This window comes from Homo sapiens, chromosome 6 (genome assembly GCF_000001405.40).
Source record: "Homo sapiens chromosome 6, GRCh38.p14 Primary Assembly".
Classification (NCBI taxonomy): Eukaryota; Metazoa; Chordata; class Mammalia; order Primates; family Hominidae; genus Homo; species Homo sapiens.
In genome coordinates this window covers 64,589,144-64,605,462 of record NC_000006.12, presented here as the reverse complement: position 1 = coordinate 64,605,462, position 16,319 = coordinate 64,589,144, and the positions used below count along the sequence as shown (strand labels likewise).

The following is a 16,319-nucleotide window of genomic DNA, read 5'->3' as shown; positions in this document are numbered from 1 at the left end:
TGTTCTGATATGATGACTGACACAGAGTAATTTCTTGATTTTGCTATTTGGAGTTAAATACAAAGTACTTAAATTTAAATTAAAAACAATGGTATTTCCAATATGAACTTGGCCGTAGTCAGGCATATAACTTTAACATTCAAACTTTTTTTGCTTTTAAAACTCAATATCTACAAATGTAGTTAGTGTATAAGAAGGCCATTGGCACTTCTTATATTAGGATCATGGATATCGAAAATAATTGACATGTAATTAAACTTAATCATTGTGAAAAGTCGAGAAAATCCCATATATTTAAAATTTGGGGGTAACCTAAGTAAGTTTCTCACCATGTTTTCAATAAGAAAAATCAATATTCAATAAGAAATAGCTGGTGATATTGTGTGCTAGATTAAATTGTTTTACTGTTTTCAAGAAGAGTGGTAAGCCAGTCATGACTTTTTGAACTGAGGAATCACCTGGTCAGACTTTTATTTTGAAAGATAACTCTGGCATATGTTTGATACATAGTCAATGTGCTTTTGAGACCTTGCCTCTAAAACAATGCATCTTGACCTCTTGCCTCATCAACTTTCTGCAGCAATATTTGTTGCCTGCGCATCTGTCTCTAGTATTAACCTTGACTTCTCCCCTGAGCTATGCTTTCCATTTCCCTTCTTATTGCACCTTCTTTTGGATAGACTAGAAACAAAAGTGAGATTCAGTGCATTCCTTAAGATCCTTATTCCTGCATTCTTTAGTCTGCTAGAAGATCTCCCTGCAGATTAAAATTATACAGCAAATCAATGAACTTGTGCTTTCAGAAGCATTGCCATTGAAGCAAATCCCCTGAAGTTCTGGTAGCCAAATTCAATAAGGAAAAAGAAAATTATCCTTAAAGTTTTCACTACCAATTATCAGACACCAGAGAAGAAGTGACTATTTCATGTTTATATTGTTGTCACCCCATAAAACTTAGATGGAGCTTGTGTGCTTCTACTCTGTGGAAAATTTCACAAATTCTTGATGTTCTTCAGACTTCATACAAATTTATAAAATTATGGACCCATAGTTTTATTCATGGTCTTTGATTTTATTCTCCTCTTTAACCTTGAGAAAGATGAAAACTGATTTGAATTAACAATTAATTGACTGACATACTTGAAAATGTTTTGAAAAGTTTGGGCCATACATTGTTAGGTTATCAGACAGAAAACATGATTATCATCCTCCCCTAGGAAAAGACATTTTAAACTTTCATGACAGGATATTGTGGATAACCTAGGAAAATAAATAAAACAATGTTACGTTGCAGTGTCCCAGGCAATGACTCTCAGGAGCCATTATAGATGAATTATTCTAAACCAAGAGAAAGAGACAGAGATACAGAGAGCGAAGCACATAAATTTGATGGAACATGTTCCACCCAAAAATAAAAAAAGAGAGAAATAATGCAGATTAGGGGAATGAGAATTCCTGTTGTGTGTTGTCAAGTTGTCATAAGGGAAGAAAAGAATACCAGCATTATATATATTCTTGAGAGCTTGGCCACCTTTTTGGTAGATGCTTCAGGCAGAGAACACACACACACACACACACACACACACACACACACACACACAGGTATTCATTTACTTTAGTAGTATACACAGCCTAAGCAGAGGGATAATTCATGTGATCTGTAGTACTATCTATATAATCCATTAAGATAGACTCTGTTCGGAAGACATGCATAGATCACACTTACTTCTTCAGATCTGACCACTGACTCACCTCCACAGAACCAGTTTGAATGATGACCATCTACTTCTGTGAGCCCTATCACATATAGAAAACTACATGAAAGGGCTTTCCTTTCTGGAGTCTTAGATAACATCTTTGTAGATCACAGGGTTTGTATGAGGCTGTATAAGATTTTGATAAACAGCCTGCAGGGTTTGGAAATCTAAGAGAGACTTCACCAGACTCCTCTAAAATTCTGAATGATTTCCTGTCTAATGGATTTTTTCAAGAAGGGCGAAGTTCTGTGTGCTCTTGGGAGGCAACAGAGGTTTTCCAGGCACTTTGGGGTCTCCTGATCTCTAATTTCACTCTTTCCGCTTCAACTCATTATGTATCAGTCTCAGGGAAACAAAATCTCTGTGGGATTATGCTCTTGAAATGAAGAAGAAAAAGGAAGAGGAGCAGCAGTAGGATAAGAAAGAAGAGAAGGAGGATGGAGTAGAAGTGGGGGAAGAGGAGGAAACAGAAGAAAAAGAAAAGCTAAATGGGGCTAATTATTTTGTCCTGTAAGCACTTTTTTTCCTATAAATCTTTCCTGGTTTAAAATAGTTATCCCAAAAAGGGCCAGAGCTACCAGGTAGGGCAGTGTTTGAACCTGGAGGCACTATCTTGTGGAAGATTAGCATCCATGATATTACATATTCTAATGTCCTAGCCTTGTATAGCTCCTCAGGAAGTCCACCCAACACAAGAGGCAATAGGACCTATTCTTCTACCAGCTTGCATTTTTCCTCTAGTGACTTGCTAAGCAACCAGAAAAACTCACCCAGGGCTCTGTTTTTATTAGTCCCTAAAGCCTAGGAGCTACCTGACACATGTTTAGGTAGGGTGGTTGTAAATGGCTTTGAGATTACTTTGTTTTCCAATTGCTAAATTTTCAAATAATTTACCACTTATTTTGAGCTCCTGTTTGGCAGCATTAAACATTTCTTAATGAAAGATCTCGGAAAAGGGGGAAAATGTTTCTTGATGCATGTTTAAATGGGATAGTGGTAAATGGCTTTGAGCTTACTTAGTTTTCAAATTGCTAAATTTTCAAATAATTTACCAATTCTTTTGAGCTCATCTTCAGCAGCATTAAGCATTTCTTAATGATAGACCTTGGGAAAAGGGGAAAATGTTTCTTAAGTGTAGAGGACAAAGAGAAAGAGTGTAATAGTGCTAATTGCACTTCCATTTCATCTGTCATCTCTGGTTTCAAGACAGACTGTTCACATGATGTGGCCCTTATTTCTCAGAGTAAGGTTGATGACTCTTGTAGCTCAAGACTGGTGCCTATTGAACTCTCATATTTGGTTGGTTGTTTTTCTTGTAATATAAAGGCATCTAAAGGGCCATCCTGTGTTTCAAATTTTAATTAAACGAGTTATGGGTAAAAATACTTACATTTTGCTTGCTCAACTCTTTAACCTAATTTATAGAGGCAATTTTGTAAATATAATTTTATATTCATTCAACAAACACTAATTGGTTAGCAGCATACAAATAGTGTGCTGAATACAATGCAGGATGGAATGGAGATAGGCTTCTACCTAGTGACATTTACAATGTACCAGGAATGACATATAAATCAAGGCAATAGAAAAATAAAATATAATTCAAACTATAGTAGTCAGAAGGAAAAGAAAAAGTTACTGTGATAGAAAAATAATGTAGATAGTAGAAAAGTTTTCTCTAAGGAAGGGACCTTTAAGTTATAACCCGTGTGATAAAAAGAAATAATCCAAAGGAAGAGTGAGGGTATGGATGTGCTGTCAGATGTATCAGCATAAACAAGGGTCATGAGGAGGAAAAGATCTTGTCCTGTATGGGACAGTAAAGAGTGGATAATGGGAGTTGAGCACAGTAACTATGGTGGGGGCAAAAGTACAGAAGTGCCTGTAGAAGTAAACAGGGTCAGGTTAGGTTGAGAGTCAGAAAAATAGTAATTAGTTTGAATTTTATTCAAGTGCAATTGACATATATACTAACAAGTTTTTTCAAAAGGGAAATGATGTGATCTTATTCAGGTTCTTAAAATATTCCTATTCTTCCATAAAGAAAGATCTAGAAGGAGGTTAAAAGTGGGAGTGAAGAAACCAGCTAGGCTCTAACAATTATTATGTAAAAGATAATGATGGTTTGATATTTGTGGCAAAGCAAATTCAGAGAAAAGGCTGGATTTGAAATGTGTTATGAAAGAAAAATTAGCAAGACATTGTATTGAGTAGATGTGTGAGATAGAAGATAATGAAAAATCAGGGAGGACTTCAGCAATAGAGTAATGATAATAAATTTCCTGTGATGGGACAGGTGGTTGGAGGAACATGTTAGAATGGAGAGACTGAATCAGCAGTTCAGTACTGTACATGTTATGTTTAAGGTACCCATGAGATATTTAAATAATGATTCTAAATAAGCAGTTGGTTATATAAAAATGTATTTCAGAGAAGTGTGAAGTAGAGATATGATTTTGGGACTCATCAATATATGATATCTTTATAGCCTTTTTGAATATATGACATTGCTTCTGGGGAGAATGGAGAAAGAAAAAAGTTGAATACTAAGCCATGATAAATTCCAAACTAGAGGCTACAAAGAGAAGGAGCCAGCAGAGGAGATTGATAATGAATAGGAGAAAGAGGTAGAAGGTTAGAGAGAAACCAAGTTTTTTAGAAGGTGGTAGTTAAGTATGTAGATGATTTGAATAAGATGAAGATCAAAAACTGTGCTTTGTATTTAACAGCACAATAGGATTTCTGGAATTTCACTATAACAGTCCTAGTGGCAAGAAGACATGAAAGCTACATTAGAATGGCTTGAGGAAAGAATGAAAAGTTTAGATAATTTAATGAATATTCATTTCAATACAGTTATCTACAAAAGGGAAAAAGAAATATGTATGTACTTAGATAAACGTGTGTTTTCAATATGTTTCTCTTAGTTTTTTCCAATAAATGTTTACTGACCATCAAGTACATCAGTATGTGCCAGCCATCATATTAGCCCCGGCCATTCAGTGGAAAATGTAACATAGTCCCCTTCCTAGGGGCACTGGTAGTATGCTGGAAAAGACATACAAATCAATTTGGCATAACAAAAGGAATGCTGTTAAAAACTATAATTATTATCATGAACCCTACATACTGATTTTGTGTGGAAAAATCTTTTTAAAAACCTAGAAACTAAAATATTTATCTAGCCCAGTAACATAGCACAAAGATATCTCAATATTACATGTTTTGGAGCAAAGTATTCTTAACATTTGATATTTGATTATTACTAGAGTTTTTTTATTATTATGGGTAAATGATATCTTCAGAATATTATTCTCACTTTCTGGTTGCCACCTACTTTGCCTTTTGTCTCCCAATCAAGTTAGATAACCACATAGAGAAATATCCTATGTATCTTTTATAGAACACAGAATCTGTTAATATCTTAATGAGGAAAACAGAAACCATAGAGAGAATTGGACATACAGTTGAAAAAAAAGAGAGCTGAAAATAACCAGAGGTTAGTGAGGTAAACAGAGGTCAGCAATGGCATGAAACCACTCAAAGTAGGCTGGAAAGACACAGGAAAGAGGAACAAGTCACCTGAAGGATGCTGGGTTTTTTCTGTATTATGTACTCCTTATTTCTTGTAGAAAATAAGGATAAGCCACAACATTTTATCTTCAAATGTTACTGTCAATAGAGTGAAATATACTAACAGTCCACTGGATTGTAAAGTCATTGAGATAATAGAAACTGTTTTGCCCAGATCTTAAAACATGGTTTGTGATGATTAAATTTAATTGACAGTGATGTTTGTTAAGTAGACTGTCAGAGTACAAGATTGTTTTAGCTTTATTACCTAAAATAATCAACTTTAGCTTAGAAATATTGATAACAAATCTTGACGATGTTTCATATATCAAAAGTATAGTATAGTGGTTTGAAGTGTGGGTTCTGGAGCCTCACTTCTTAGGTAAAAATCTTTGCTCTGCCATTTTCTAGCTCTATTACCAGAAAATTAGACAGGACTATGGGATAACACTGCTTTTCTTTAAACCATACTTTATTTTATTGAAACTATTAATAATTCTGCTTCAAGAGAGACTCATATTTTCAACTTGTTACATATCTGGTAGCCAATAAGCTTCTCAAATTTAATGTATTTAAACAGAAATTGTGATCTATCCTCCAATCTGTAACTGGTCTTCTATAATTTAGTAAATTTGCTTGTCTTCTTTAATTTTTATTTCTATTTTATTGATAGGAATACAAATTTACAAATCATTCACTAAACTTTTTATTCTCACCCCATACATCTAGTCCATCAGCATGTATTATAGGCTCTGCCTTCCACGTATACCCTGAATACAAACTTTACTCAGTATATTCACCATTTCCACTCCAGGTCAGTCTAATTATTTCCCTTTCCTGGATCAGTCCCTGCTTCCCAAATATACCTTAGCTTCCATTCTTCCCCCGAATCCAAGCTCCATTGAGTGTATATTATCTACAGTAAGCTTTTTATGATATCAATAAGATTAGAACTTTCTTATTTCAAATATTCCAATGGCTTCCTATAATTCTCAGAATCAATTCCAAATTCAACAACAAACAAGTAAAGAAGCCACATTATCTGGTTTCTAATCACCTCTGTGACCTCATTTCTACCTACATGGCCTTCCCTTATTCTCTTTAACTGTCCATCTTGCTTTTGTGTAAATATATTAAGCATTTTCCTGCCCGCAGGCCTTTGCACTGCTGTTCTTTTCGCCTTTGATACTCTTTCCTAAAATACTCACATTAATTTATATCCCTGTTCAGAGAAGACTTCCCTGGCCACTGCCTCCAAAACAGCCCTTGCTGTTTTTCCTTATTATGTATTTTGGGATATTTTGTCTTAAAATCACTTATCACTAATTGATATTAATTAATTCAAATTTCTTTCCTAAAATACAAAGTATATAATGGAGAAACTTTGCCTATCTTGTTGACCAGCTCATTTCCAACAATTACAACAGTTACTGGCACTTAGATATTGATCAATAAACATTTGTTGAGTGAAGACATAGAGGGCTATACAATGTCCACAAGAAAGCAGATGACCATATTCTCATAAAGCTCTAATTCAGAAGATCTTATTTGCATATTTTTCCTCAAACATAGATTCAGAAAGAAAATAATTTTTTAAGTCATGATGTTTCATAGAAATTACTATATCATCTTGGTACCTATTAGGTTTTTGTTTGTTTGTTTGTTTGTTTTTGAGACGGAGTCTCGCACTGTCGCCCAGCCTGGAGTGCAGTGGCGCAATCTTGGCTCACTGCAAGCTCCGCCTCGCAGGTTCACGCCATTCTCCTGCCTCAGCCTCCCGAGTAGCTGGGACTACAGACGCCCGCCACCAAGGCCGGCTAATTTTTTTGTATTTTTAGTAGGGACGGGGTTTCACCGTGTTAGCAAGGATGGTCTCGATCTCCTGACCTTGTGATCCGCCCACCTGGGCCTCCCAAAGTGCTGGGATTACAGGCGTGAGCCACCACGCCTGGCCCCTTCTCTTTTTTCTTAATTTACATGCATTCTGTATCCATTATGGTAAGGGATCCTGTTGACCCTGTGTTTTTGTTTGCTGTGGATATTTTTCCACTTAATGTTTAAGTTTTTATACACAGACACTTTATAGTTCTTTTGTTCTTTTATTTTTAGTTGACGCATATTAATTGTACATATTTATGGAATACATAGTAATATTTCAATGGATGTATACATTGTGTTAGTGATAAAATCAGGGTAATTAGCATAATATTGAAGATATCTTTTTTGTGTTGTGAACATTAAAATTCTCTTTTAGCTTTTAAAAAATTTGTATCAAATTAAGCGTTACAAGTGCAATTTTGTTACGTGACTGTCTATATGGCATAATGATGAAATCTGGGATTTTAGTATATCCATCACTCCAATAACAGACATTGTAACCACAAGTAATTTCTCATTATTTACCCCCCCATGTCCTCCCCCACCCTTTTAAGTCTCCAGTTTTTATTTTTCTCCACTCTATGTCCATATGTACACATTATTTAGCTCCCACTTGTAACTGAGAACATGTGGGTATTTGTCTTTCTGTGTCTGGGTTGTTTCATGTTGGAAAATGACCTCCAGTTCCATCCACATTGCTACAAAACACCTGATTTAATTCTTTTTATGGCTGACTAGTATTCCATTGTGTATATATACCACCATTTTCTTGATCCAGCCTTCACTGATAGGTGGATTCCACATCTTTGCTATTGTGAACGGTGCTGTGATAAACATATAAATACATGTATCTTTTTGATATAATGATTTATTTTCCTTTGGCTGTATACCCAGTAGTGGGACTGCTGAATTGAATCGTAGTTCTATTTTTAGTTCTTTGAGAAATCTCCATACTGTTTTCCATAGAGTTTGTCCTAGTTTACATTCCTACCAGAAGCATATAAGGGTTCCCTTTTCTCTGCATCCTTGCCAATATCTGTTATTTTTTGTCTTTTTAATGGTAGCCATTCTAACTAATGTAAGATAATATCTCATTGCAGTTTTAATTGGCCTTTCTCTGATGATTAGTGACATTGAGCAGCTTTTCATACGTTTCTTGGCCATTTGTATGTCTTCTTTTGAAAAAAATGCCTATTCATGCCCCTTGTCCACTTTTTTTGATGGGGTTATATTTTTTATTGTTGTTGAGTTGTTTGAGGTCCTTGTAAAATTTTAAATATTAGTTCCCTGTTGGATGCATTGTGTGAAAACATTTTTTCTCATTCTGCAGGTTATCTGTTCACTCTGTCAATTGTTTCCTTTTCTATGCAGAAGCTCCTTAGTTTAACTCAATTCCATTTGTCTATTTTTGTTTTTTGTTTCTTGTGCTTTTGAGATCATACTCATAAAAATCTTTGCCTATACCAATGTCCTGAGGCATTTACTCTGTTTTCTTCTAGTAGTTTTATAGCTTGGGGTCTTATGCTTAAGTCTGTAATCAATTTTGAGTTGATTTTTGTATATGGTGAGAGATACGAGTCTAGTTTTATTTTTCTTCATATGAGTATCCAGTTTTCCCTGCGCTATTTATTGAAGATAGCATTCTTTCTCTAACGTTTGGTATCTCTATCAAAAATCAGCTAGCTGTGAATATGTGAATCTATCTCTTTCTTCTCTATTCTGTTCCATTGGTCTATGTGTCTGTTTTCATACCAATGCCATGCTGCTTTAAGTTACTGTAGCTACATAGTATAATTTAAAGTCAGAGAGTATGATGCTTCCAGCTTTGTTCTTTTTACTTAGGATTGCTTTGGCTATTCAGAATCTTTTGTGATTCCATATAAATTCAGAATTGTTTTTCCTATCTCTCTGAAAAATATCATTGGTCTTTTGATAGAGATTTCTTTGAATCTGTAGATTGCTTTGAATAGCATGGTCATTCATAAAGTTTGAATATTTGACCCTGCCCAAATCTCATGTTAAATTGCAATCCCCAGTGCTGGAGATGTGGCCTGGGGGGAGGAATTTGGGTCATGGAGGTGGATCCCTCATCACTTTCTGCTGGTGTTGCAGTAGTTGGTGAGTTCCTGTGAGATCTGGTTATTTTAAAGTGTGTGTCCCCTACCCATCCCCTCCCTGGCTCTCTCTCTCTTTGTTGCTCCTGCTTTTGTCATGTGATGTGCCTCCTCCCTCTTCGTCTTCTGTTATGACTGTAAACTATCTGAGGCATTCTTAGAAGCCAAGCAGATGCCAGCACCATGCTTCCTCTAAAGCCTGCAGAACTGAGAGCCAATTAAACCTACTTTCTTTATGAAATACCCAGTCTCAGATATTTCTTTATAGCAATGCAGAATGGTTTAATACAGTCATTGAAATAATATTAATTCTTCTGCTCCATAACCATGGGATGTCTTTCCCTTCATTTCTGTCCTCTTCAATGTCTTGCATCAGTGTTTTGTAGTTTTCCTTGCAGATTTTTCACCTCCTTGGTTAAATTTATTCCTATGTATTTCTTTTGTGAGGCTATTGTGACTGGGATTGCATTTTTAATTTCTTTTTCAAATAGTTCATTATTGGTGTATGGAAACAATGCTAAATTTTGTATGTTGATTTTTTTATTCTACAATTTCACTGAATTTGTTCATCAGCTCTAAGAGATTTTGTGGTGGAGTCTTTAGGTTTTTCTATATATAAGATTATGTCTTCTGCAAAGAGGGTCAGTTTGACTTCCTTTTTTCTAATTTTAATGCTCTTTATTTCTCTCTCATTCCTAATTGCTCTTGTTGGCACTTCCGGGACAATGGTGAATAACAATGGTGAAAGTGGGCATCCTGTCTTATTACAGTTCTTAGAGGAAAGGGTTTCAGCTTTTGCCCATTTAATATGATTTCAGGTGTGGGTTTGTCATTTATGACCTTCATTATGTTAAAGTATTTTTTAATGCCAAATTTGTTGAGACTTTTTATTATGAAGTGATATTCAATTTTATCAAATTAATTTCTGCATCTATTGAGATACTTATATGGATTTTGTCCTTGATATTGTTGATTGATATGTCACATTTATTGATTTACATATGTTGAAACATCCTTGCATGCCTGGGATAAATCCCACTTGATCATAGTGTATTATTTTTTGATATGTTGTTGTATTCAGTTTGCTAGTGTTTTGGGGAGAACTTTTGCATCTAGGTTCATCAATGATAGTTGCCTGTGGATTTTTTTATGTTCTTGTCTAGTTTTGGTGTCAGGGTAATGCTGGCCTCATAGAATGAGTAAGGAAGAATTTCCTCCTCTTCAATGTTTTGTAATAGCTTGAGAAGAATTGGTGTTAGTTCTTTTCTTTTTTTTATATAATTTTTTAAATTTTATTATTATTATACTTTAAGTTTTAGGGTACATGTGCACAATGTGCAGGTTTGTTACATATGTATACATGTGCCATGTTGGTGTGCTGCACCCATTAACTCGTCATTTAGCATTAGGTATATCTCCTAATGCTATCCCTCCCCCTCCCCCCACCCCACAACAGTCCCCGGTGTGCGATGTTCCCCTTCCTGTGTCCATGTGTTCTCATCGTTCAATTCCCACCTGTGAGTAAGAACATGCAGTGTTTGGTTTTTTGTCCTTGCGATAGTTTGCTGAGAATGATGGTTTCCAGCTTCATCCATGTCCCTACAAAGGACATGAACTCATCCTTTTTTATGGCTGCATTGTATTCCATGGTGTCTATGTGCCACATTTTCTTAATCCAGTCTATCATTGTTGGACATTTGGGTTGCGAACTAGAAATACCATTTGACCCAGCCATCCCATTACTGAGTATATACCCAAAGGATTATAAATCATGCTGCTATAAAGACACATGCACACGTATGTTTATTGCAGCACTATTCACAATAGCAAAGACTTGGTGTTAGTTCTTTCCTAAAAGTATGATCAATTTCAGCAGTAAAGCCACCTGGTCCTGGGCTTTTCTTTGTTGCGAATTATCTAACATTAGGAATCATCTGACATTTATACAACTTTTTGGTGTGAGTTGAAAGTGACTACAGAATATGGAACTGTGAAACAACCACCACCCACATCTGAAAGAAGACTTAAGTGTTCTGCAAATTAGATGTAATATTTAACAAATATTAGAACACTAAAGCAGGGATGCCTATTAGGTATGTCTTTATTATTAGGAAATAGACATGTATTAGTATTTTAAAATCATTTTGAAATATTATTTTCTTACAAATAAAAATGATTCATATAGTATAACTTGTTTTTAACTCTACATTTATAAACGTATCTCTCTGGTCCATTTATACTTATTTATACATTATCGCAATTTTCATTCACAGTTTCTTCATGTGAAAGCTATTTTATAGGATATGGTAGAAATAGCCTTTTCATGTCAAACTAAAACACATAAAGATCATTCCTACTGCAAGCCAATACAAACTAAAATAATTTGCAAATCACAAGAATATGTTTTCAAATTTTCTGTTGCAGATACTGCATTTTACATTAGCTTCCAACTAAATTTGACTTTTAGAGCAGAAAAGTTTTATAATTTGTAATGTGACTTCTTTTTTATATCCACATTAATTACCATACAGTACAAATTCTTCATTGGAAAACTATATTCTCAAAAGTAAAAATAGTATTTTGACTTAAAATTAAAGGAATTAAGAATAAATTTGGGCATGCAACTGTGCATATCTCAAATTGAAAGGATTGAGTCCATTTTGAAATATGGGTAAAATTTACTATGGAGATTTAATTTTCAAGTAAAATATTTTATTTGAGCTATCCAATATGTCTATGGAAATGCAAATGGATCTCAAAACAAACTTTACAATTTCTCTTAGGAACAAAGAAACTGAGCTTAATTTAATTACTGTAATTGTCATTTGCAGACCTGCTCCATTGGGCTTCTTTGTGGTGATGAAATAAGGAGAATTACCTGTTTAACTCCCATCTTTCAAAGAACAGATCCCATTTCCACACAGACATATACAATTCCCCCTTCTGAGACTTTGGTCAGCAGCTTTCCATCTATAAAGGCTACTAGAATACCAGCCATAATGGACACTTACCCAGTTGATCAAGGTAAGTAGAAGTGGGTAAGATATTAAGAAGTTTGAGTTTGAAAAAGTTGTGTGGTAAAAGCATATTTTCTGCATTATTAAAATCTTTTTTTTTTCTGAGATACATGATTTTTAGGGGTGTAAAATTAAGCATTATTGGTTATGACTCCTGTTTTAAGTTTTGTTTTAAACAATGTTGTTTGCTAATACTATTTCTGGATCAGTAAAAAAATGTAAATTAACAGTTTTTATTCCACTGTGTAAATTCGAATAGACAACTGGACCTCAATCCCAGCACATTTTGTTTTAAAAGGGCCTTGTGCTACTTGCATCAATGTGTCTTTACTTCATATTCTCTGAGTCATTAAGGTAAATTTATATTCCTATCAAATTATTTGACTAACACTCAGATAAAAGATATGTGCTTATTTTCCTATTGTGAATTATTTTAACAACTTCAGGCTGTTTTTTACATGTCCAATTCTTTAACTTTCTAAATCAAGTGATGTCATATTATAAACAGTACATTGTATATTAAATTCCAAATTTACTCTTCATGTAGCCAATGCCACTTCGGATAATCAGAGTAAGAATTGTAGCCCTTAGCAAGGAATTCTTGAAGAAAAAATAATTTTGAAGGCTATTGGGTATTCTAAGTAGAAATGTACCTTGTCTATTTTTCATCTATGTAATTTCTATTCTTTTAAAAAATTAAATTGAAATATGGTGTTATCTAATATAAACAGAACATTTTGCCTATTGAGGAAGTAAAACGGTATTTCTAACATTTCTAACCCGATGGGTCAAACATTCATTGGTTGTGTCAATGACAAAGAGTTGTAATTTTTCATGTGTTCTTATTCAAAGGAGTCATTTAGTTGGGAATATGTCAATTCTATGTAATGCCATTTGTTCTAACTTTAGCCCTCCCATGGAGTGTAAATAATAGGAATCTTTGCATTTATGCAGTTTGTGAAATCATTAAACTCCTCATGTACTTTTATTAGAAATATGATTTACAGAACCATATTTGTCTACATATAATGGATGTAAGGTGCCAGTGCAATTTGCCTGAGATTTATCCCAGTGCCAAAGTGGTTCGTTTCTGATTCATTTTTCTAACCTTTTTGGCTTTTTTCCTTTTTGTAGGTCCAAAACAGACAGGCATTGTCAAGCACGACATTCTCCCAACCACTGGTTTGGCAACATTAAGAATTAGCACACCCTTGGAAAGCTACTTACTCCAAGAACTGATTGTCACTAGAGAGCTTTCAGCAAAACACAGTCTTCTTTCTTCCGCAGATGTTTCCTCTTCTCGATTCCTGAATTTTGGTATTCGTGACCCAGCACAAATTGTCCAGGACAAAACATCGGTATCACATATGCCTATTCGAACTTCAGCAGCCACACTAGGTTTCTTTTTTCCTGATAGGAGAGCAAGGACCCCATTTATCATGTCTTCCTTAATGTCAGATTTTATTTTTCCTACACAATCTTTATTATTTGAGAACTGTCAGACTGTTGCTTTATCTGCTACCCCAACGACTTCAGTAATTAGAAGCATTCCAGGGGCTGATATTGAGCTAAACAGGCAGTCATTACTCTCCCGTGGATTCCTGCTTATAGCTGCCTCCATAAGTGCAACTCCAGTTGTCTCTAGGGGGGCTCAAGAGGATATTGAAGAATATTCAGCTGATTCTTTAATTTCAAGAAGAGAGCACTGGAGATTGCTCAGCCCCTCGATGTCTCCCATTTTTCCTGCTAAGGTAATTATATCTAAACAGGTAACCATCTTAAACTCATCAGCTCTGCACCGGTTCAGTACAAAAGCCTTCAATCCCAGTGAATATCAGGCTATTACTGAGGCTTCAAGCAACCAGAGACTCACAAACATCAAATCACAGGCTGCTGATTCTTTAAGAGAATTAAGCCAAACATGTGCAACATGTTCTATGACTGAAATAAAATCCTCTCGTGAATTCTCAGATCAAGTTTTGCATAGCAAACAGTCCCACTTTTATGAGACATTCTGGATGAACTCAGCGATATTAGCCAGCTGGTATGCACTAATGGGAGCTCAAACTATCACTTCTGGGCATTCATTTTCTTCTGCTACTGAAATAACACCATCAGTGGCATTCACAGAAGTGCCATCTTTATTTCCTTCTAAAAAGAGTGCAAAAAGAACAATTTTATCCTCATCCTTGGAAGAATCCATTACCCTATCAAGTAATTTGGATGTTAATTTATGTTTGGATAAGACTTGTTTATCCATTGTCCCTTCACAAACTATCTCTTCAGACTTGATGAATTCTGATTTGACTTCAAAAATGACTACTGATGAACTGTCAGTATCAGAAAACATTTTAAAACTATTGAAAATAAGACAATATGGCATAACTATGGGACCCACTGAGGTACTAAATCAAGAGAGCTTATTGGACATGGAAAAAAGTAAAGGATCTCATACACTGTTCAAACTTCACCCAAGTGATAGTTCTCTGGATTTTGAGTTAAACTTACAAATTTATCCGGATGTTACTTTAAAGACATATTCAGAAATTACACATGCAAATGACTTCAAAAATAATCTGCCACCATTGACAGGCTCAGTGCCTGATTTTTCAGAAGTCACCACCAATGTTGCATTTTATACAGTTTCAGCAACTCCAGCACTTTCAATACAGACGTCTTCCTCCATGTCTGTAATTAGGCCAGATTGGCCATATTTTACAGATTATATGACCTCTCTTAAAAAAGAGGTCAAGACTTCTTCAGAATGGTCCAAATGGGAACTTCAGCCTAGTGTGCAATATCAGGAATTTCCCACTGCAAGCCGGCATCTTCCCTTCACTAGATCTCTTACTTTGTCTTCACTGGAATCCATTCTGGCACCTCAACGGCTGATGATTTCTGGTGAGTTTCTCAGTTTCTGTTCAGTAAACTTTTAGAAATGAGTTTCTTTTCTACAGAGAAGAAAGAGCCTGTCATGGTCACCGGGTGCTCTGAACAGCCTCATTGTAATCAGGGCAGCAGCCAGTTCAATTGAGAAGGCACCTGCTGTTGTACCTGACACAGATGGTTATTCTTTATGCACTGCCACAAAGGCTACCAGATCAATACAGTAGTAGGTTGGAGACAGCTATACTGCTGTCAAGCAATCAGAAACTGAACTAGTTCAATTCATTATGACAGATCTCTCAAAGTTTAGAAATAACTTTTATTATTCTCATTTCTTGAAATAGCTTCTTTGTCAGGTTGAACACAATATAACATACTCTTTCTAACGGTATCTTCAGTGGTAGCATTTTTTTTAATATGGGAAAGAGGAAATCACTGGAACTTTCTTGAGATTTCCTATCCTCTATGGCATGGTATATCATTTTTAAATTTAAAGTTTTTTGTTTCATTTTATATAATTCAGAATATAAGTTAATTTCAAGTATTTTATTTAACAAAAGCACTATGCAAAAATTGAAGGAGATAATATCTGTGAATTTGAATTCAGAGCCTTGATATATTAATGACAAGCCAGTTTTCTCATATAACAGTTCTTACTTTAAAGCGTATTTTAAATCACTATTCTCCCCTTGTAATTGCTATCAAATTGGTAAGGATGTAAAAAAGGAAAAAGGTTAAAGAATTGTGTTTACCAGAAAGATAAGATTTTTCATTATTTTAAGAAATTCTATCTTGTGGAATTTTCAAGTGTTACTTTGTGGCAGTGAAATTAATTTTCCTTTGACAATAAACTTATAGTGGTTTGTGTCTGTGTATGTATGGTTGTGTGTTTTTGCTTCATATATTACCCCAACGTTTAAAAGGTTTTAGGTGTGTAATTTATGGCTGAAAATTCAGTAACATGAAAGAACAAGTCATTCTATTTGGTATATCATATATTCAATATGATATAATTTTGTCTACAAAATTTCTTAAAACCATGATAAAATTAATTACAAATTTAAATGTGGTATTGTCCTTGTACTTTTACAGGC

At 34.8% G+C, this 16,319-nt stretch overlaps 1 protein-coding gene across 2 annotated transcripts in view, besides 1 other annotated feature; it reads left to right on the top strand.

Moving 5' to 3' along the window:
* The window catches only part of EYS (eyes shut homolog), a 1,987,247-nt gene that overhangs the window by 1,101,764 nt on the left and 869,164 nt on the right, over positions 1–16,319 (top strand). For both annotated transcript variants that reach the window (NM_001142800.2, NM_001292009.2), the window contains exons 25-26: positions 12,154–12,346; positions 13,474–15,240. In NM_001142800.2, coding sequence (NP_001136272.1) covers positions 12,154–12,346; positions 13,474–15,240 — 1,960 coding nt within the window. The remainder of the gene's footprint in view (positions 1–12,153; positions 12,347–13,473; positions 15,241–16,319) is intronic.
* Positions 9,300–9,469: an enhancer, noted in NCBI's record as "experimental_92402 CRE fragment used in MPRA reporter constructs". NCBI's record gives its function as "activates a minimal promoter by MPRAs in K562 erythroleukemia cells, with activity observed for both the introgressed and non-introgressed 6:65305972 variant alleles {active_cell/tissue: K562}" and the evidence as "EXISTENCE:reporter gene assay evidence [ECO:0000049][PMID:34662402]".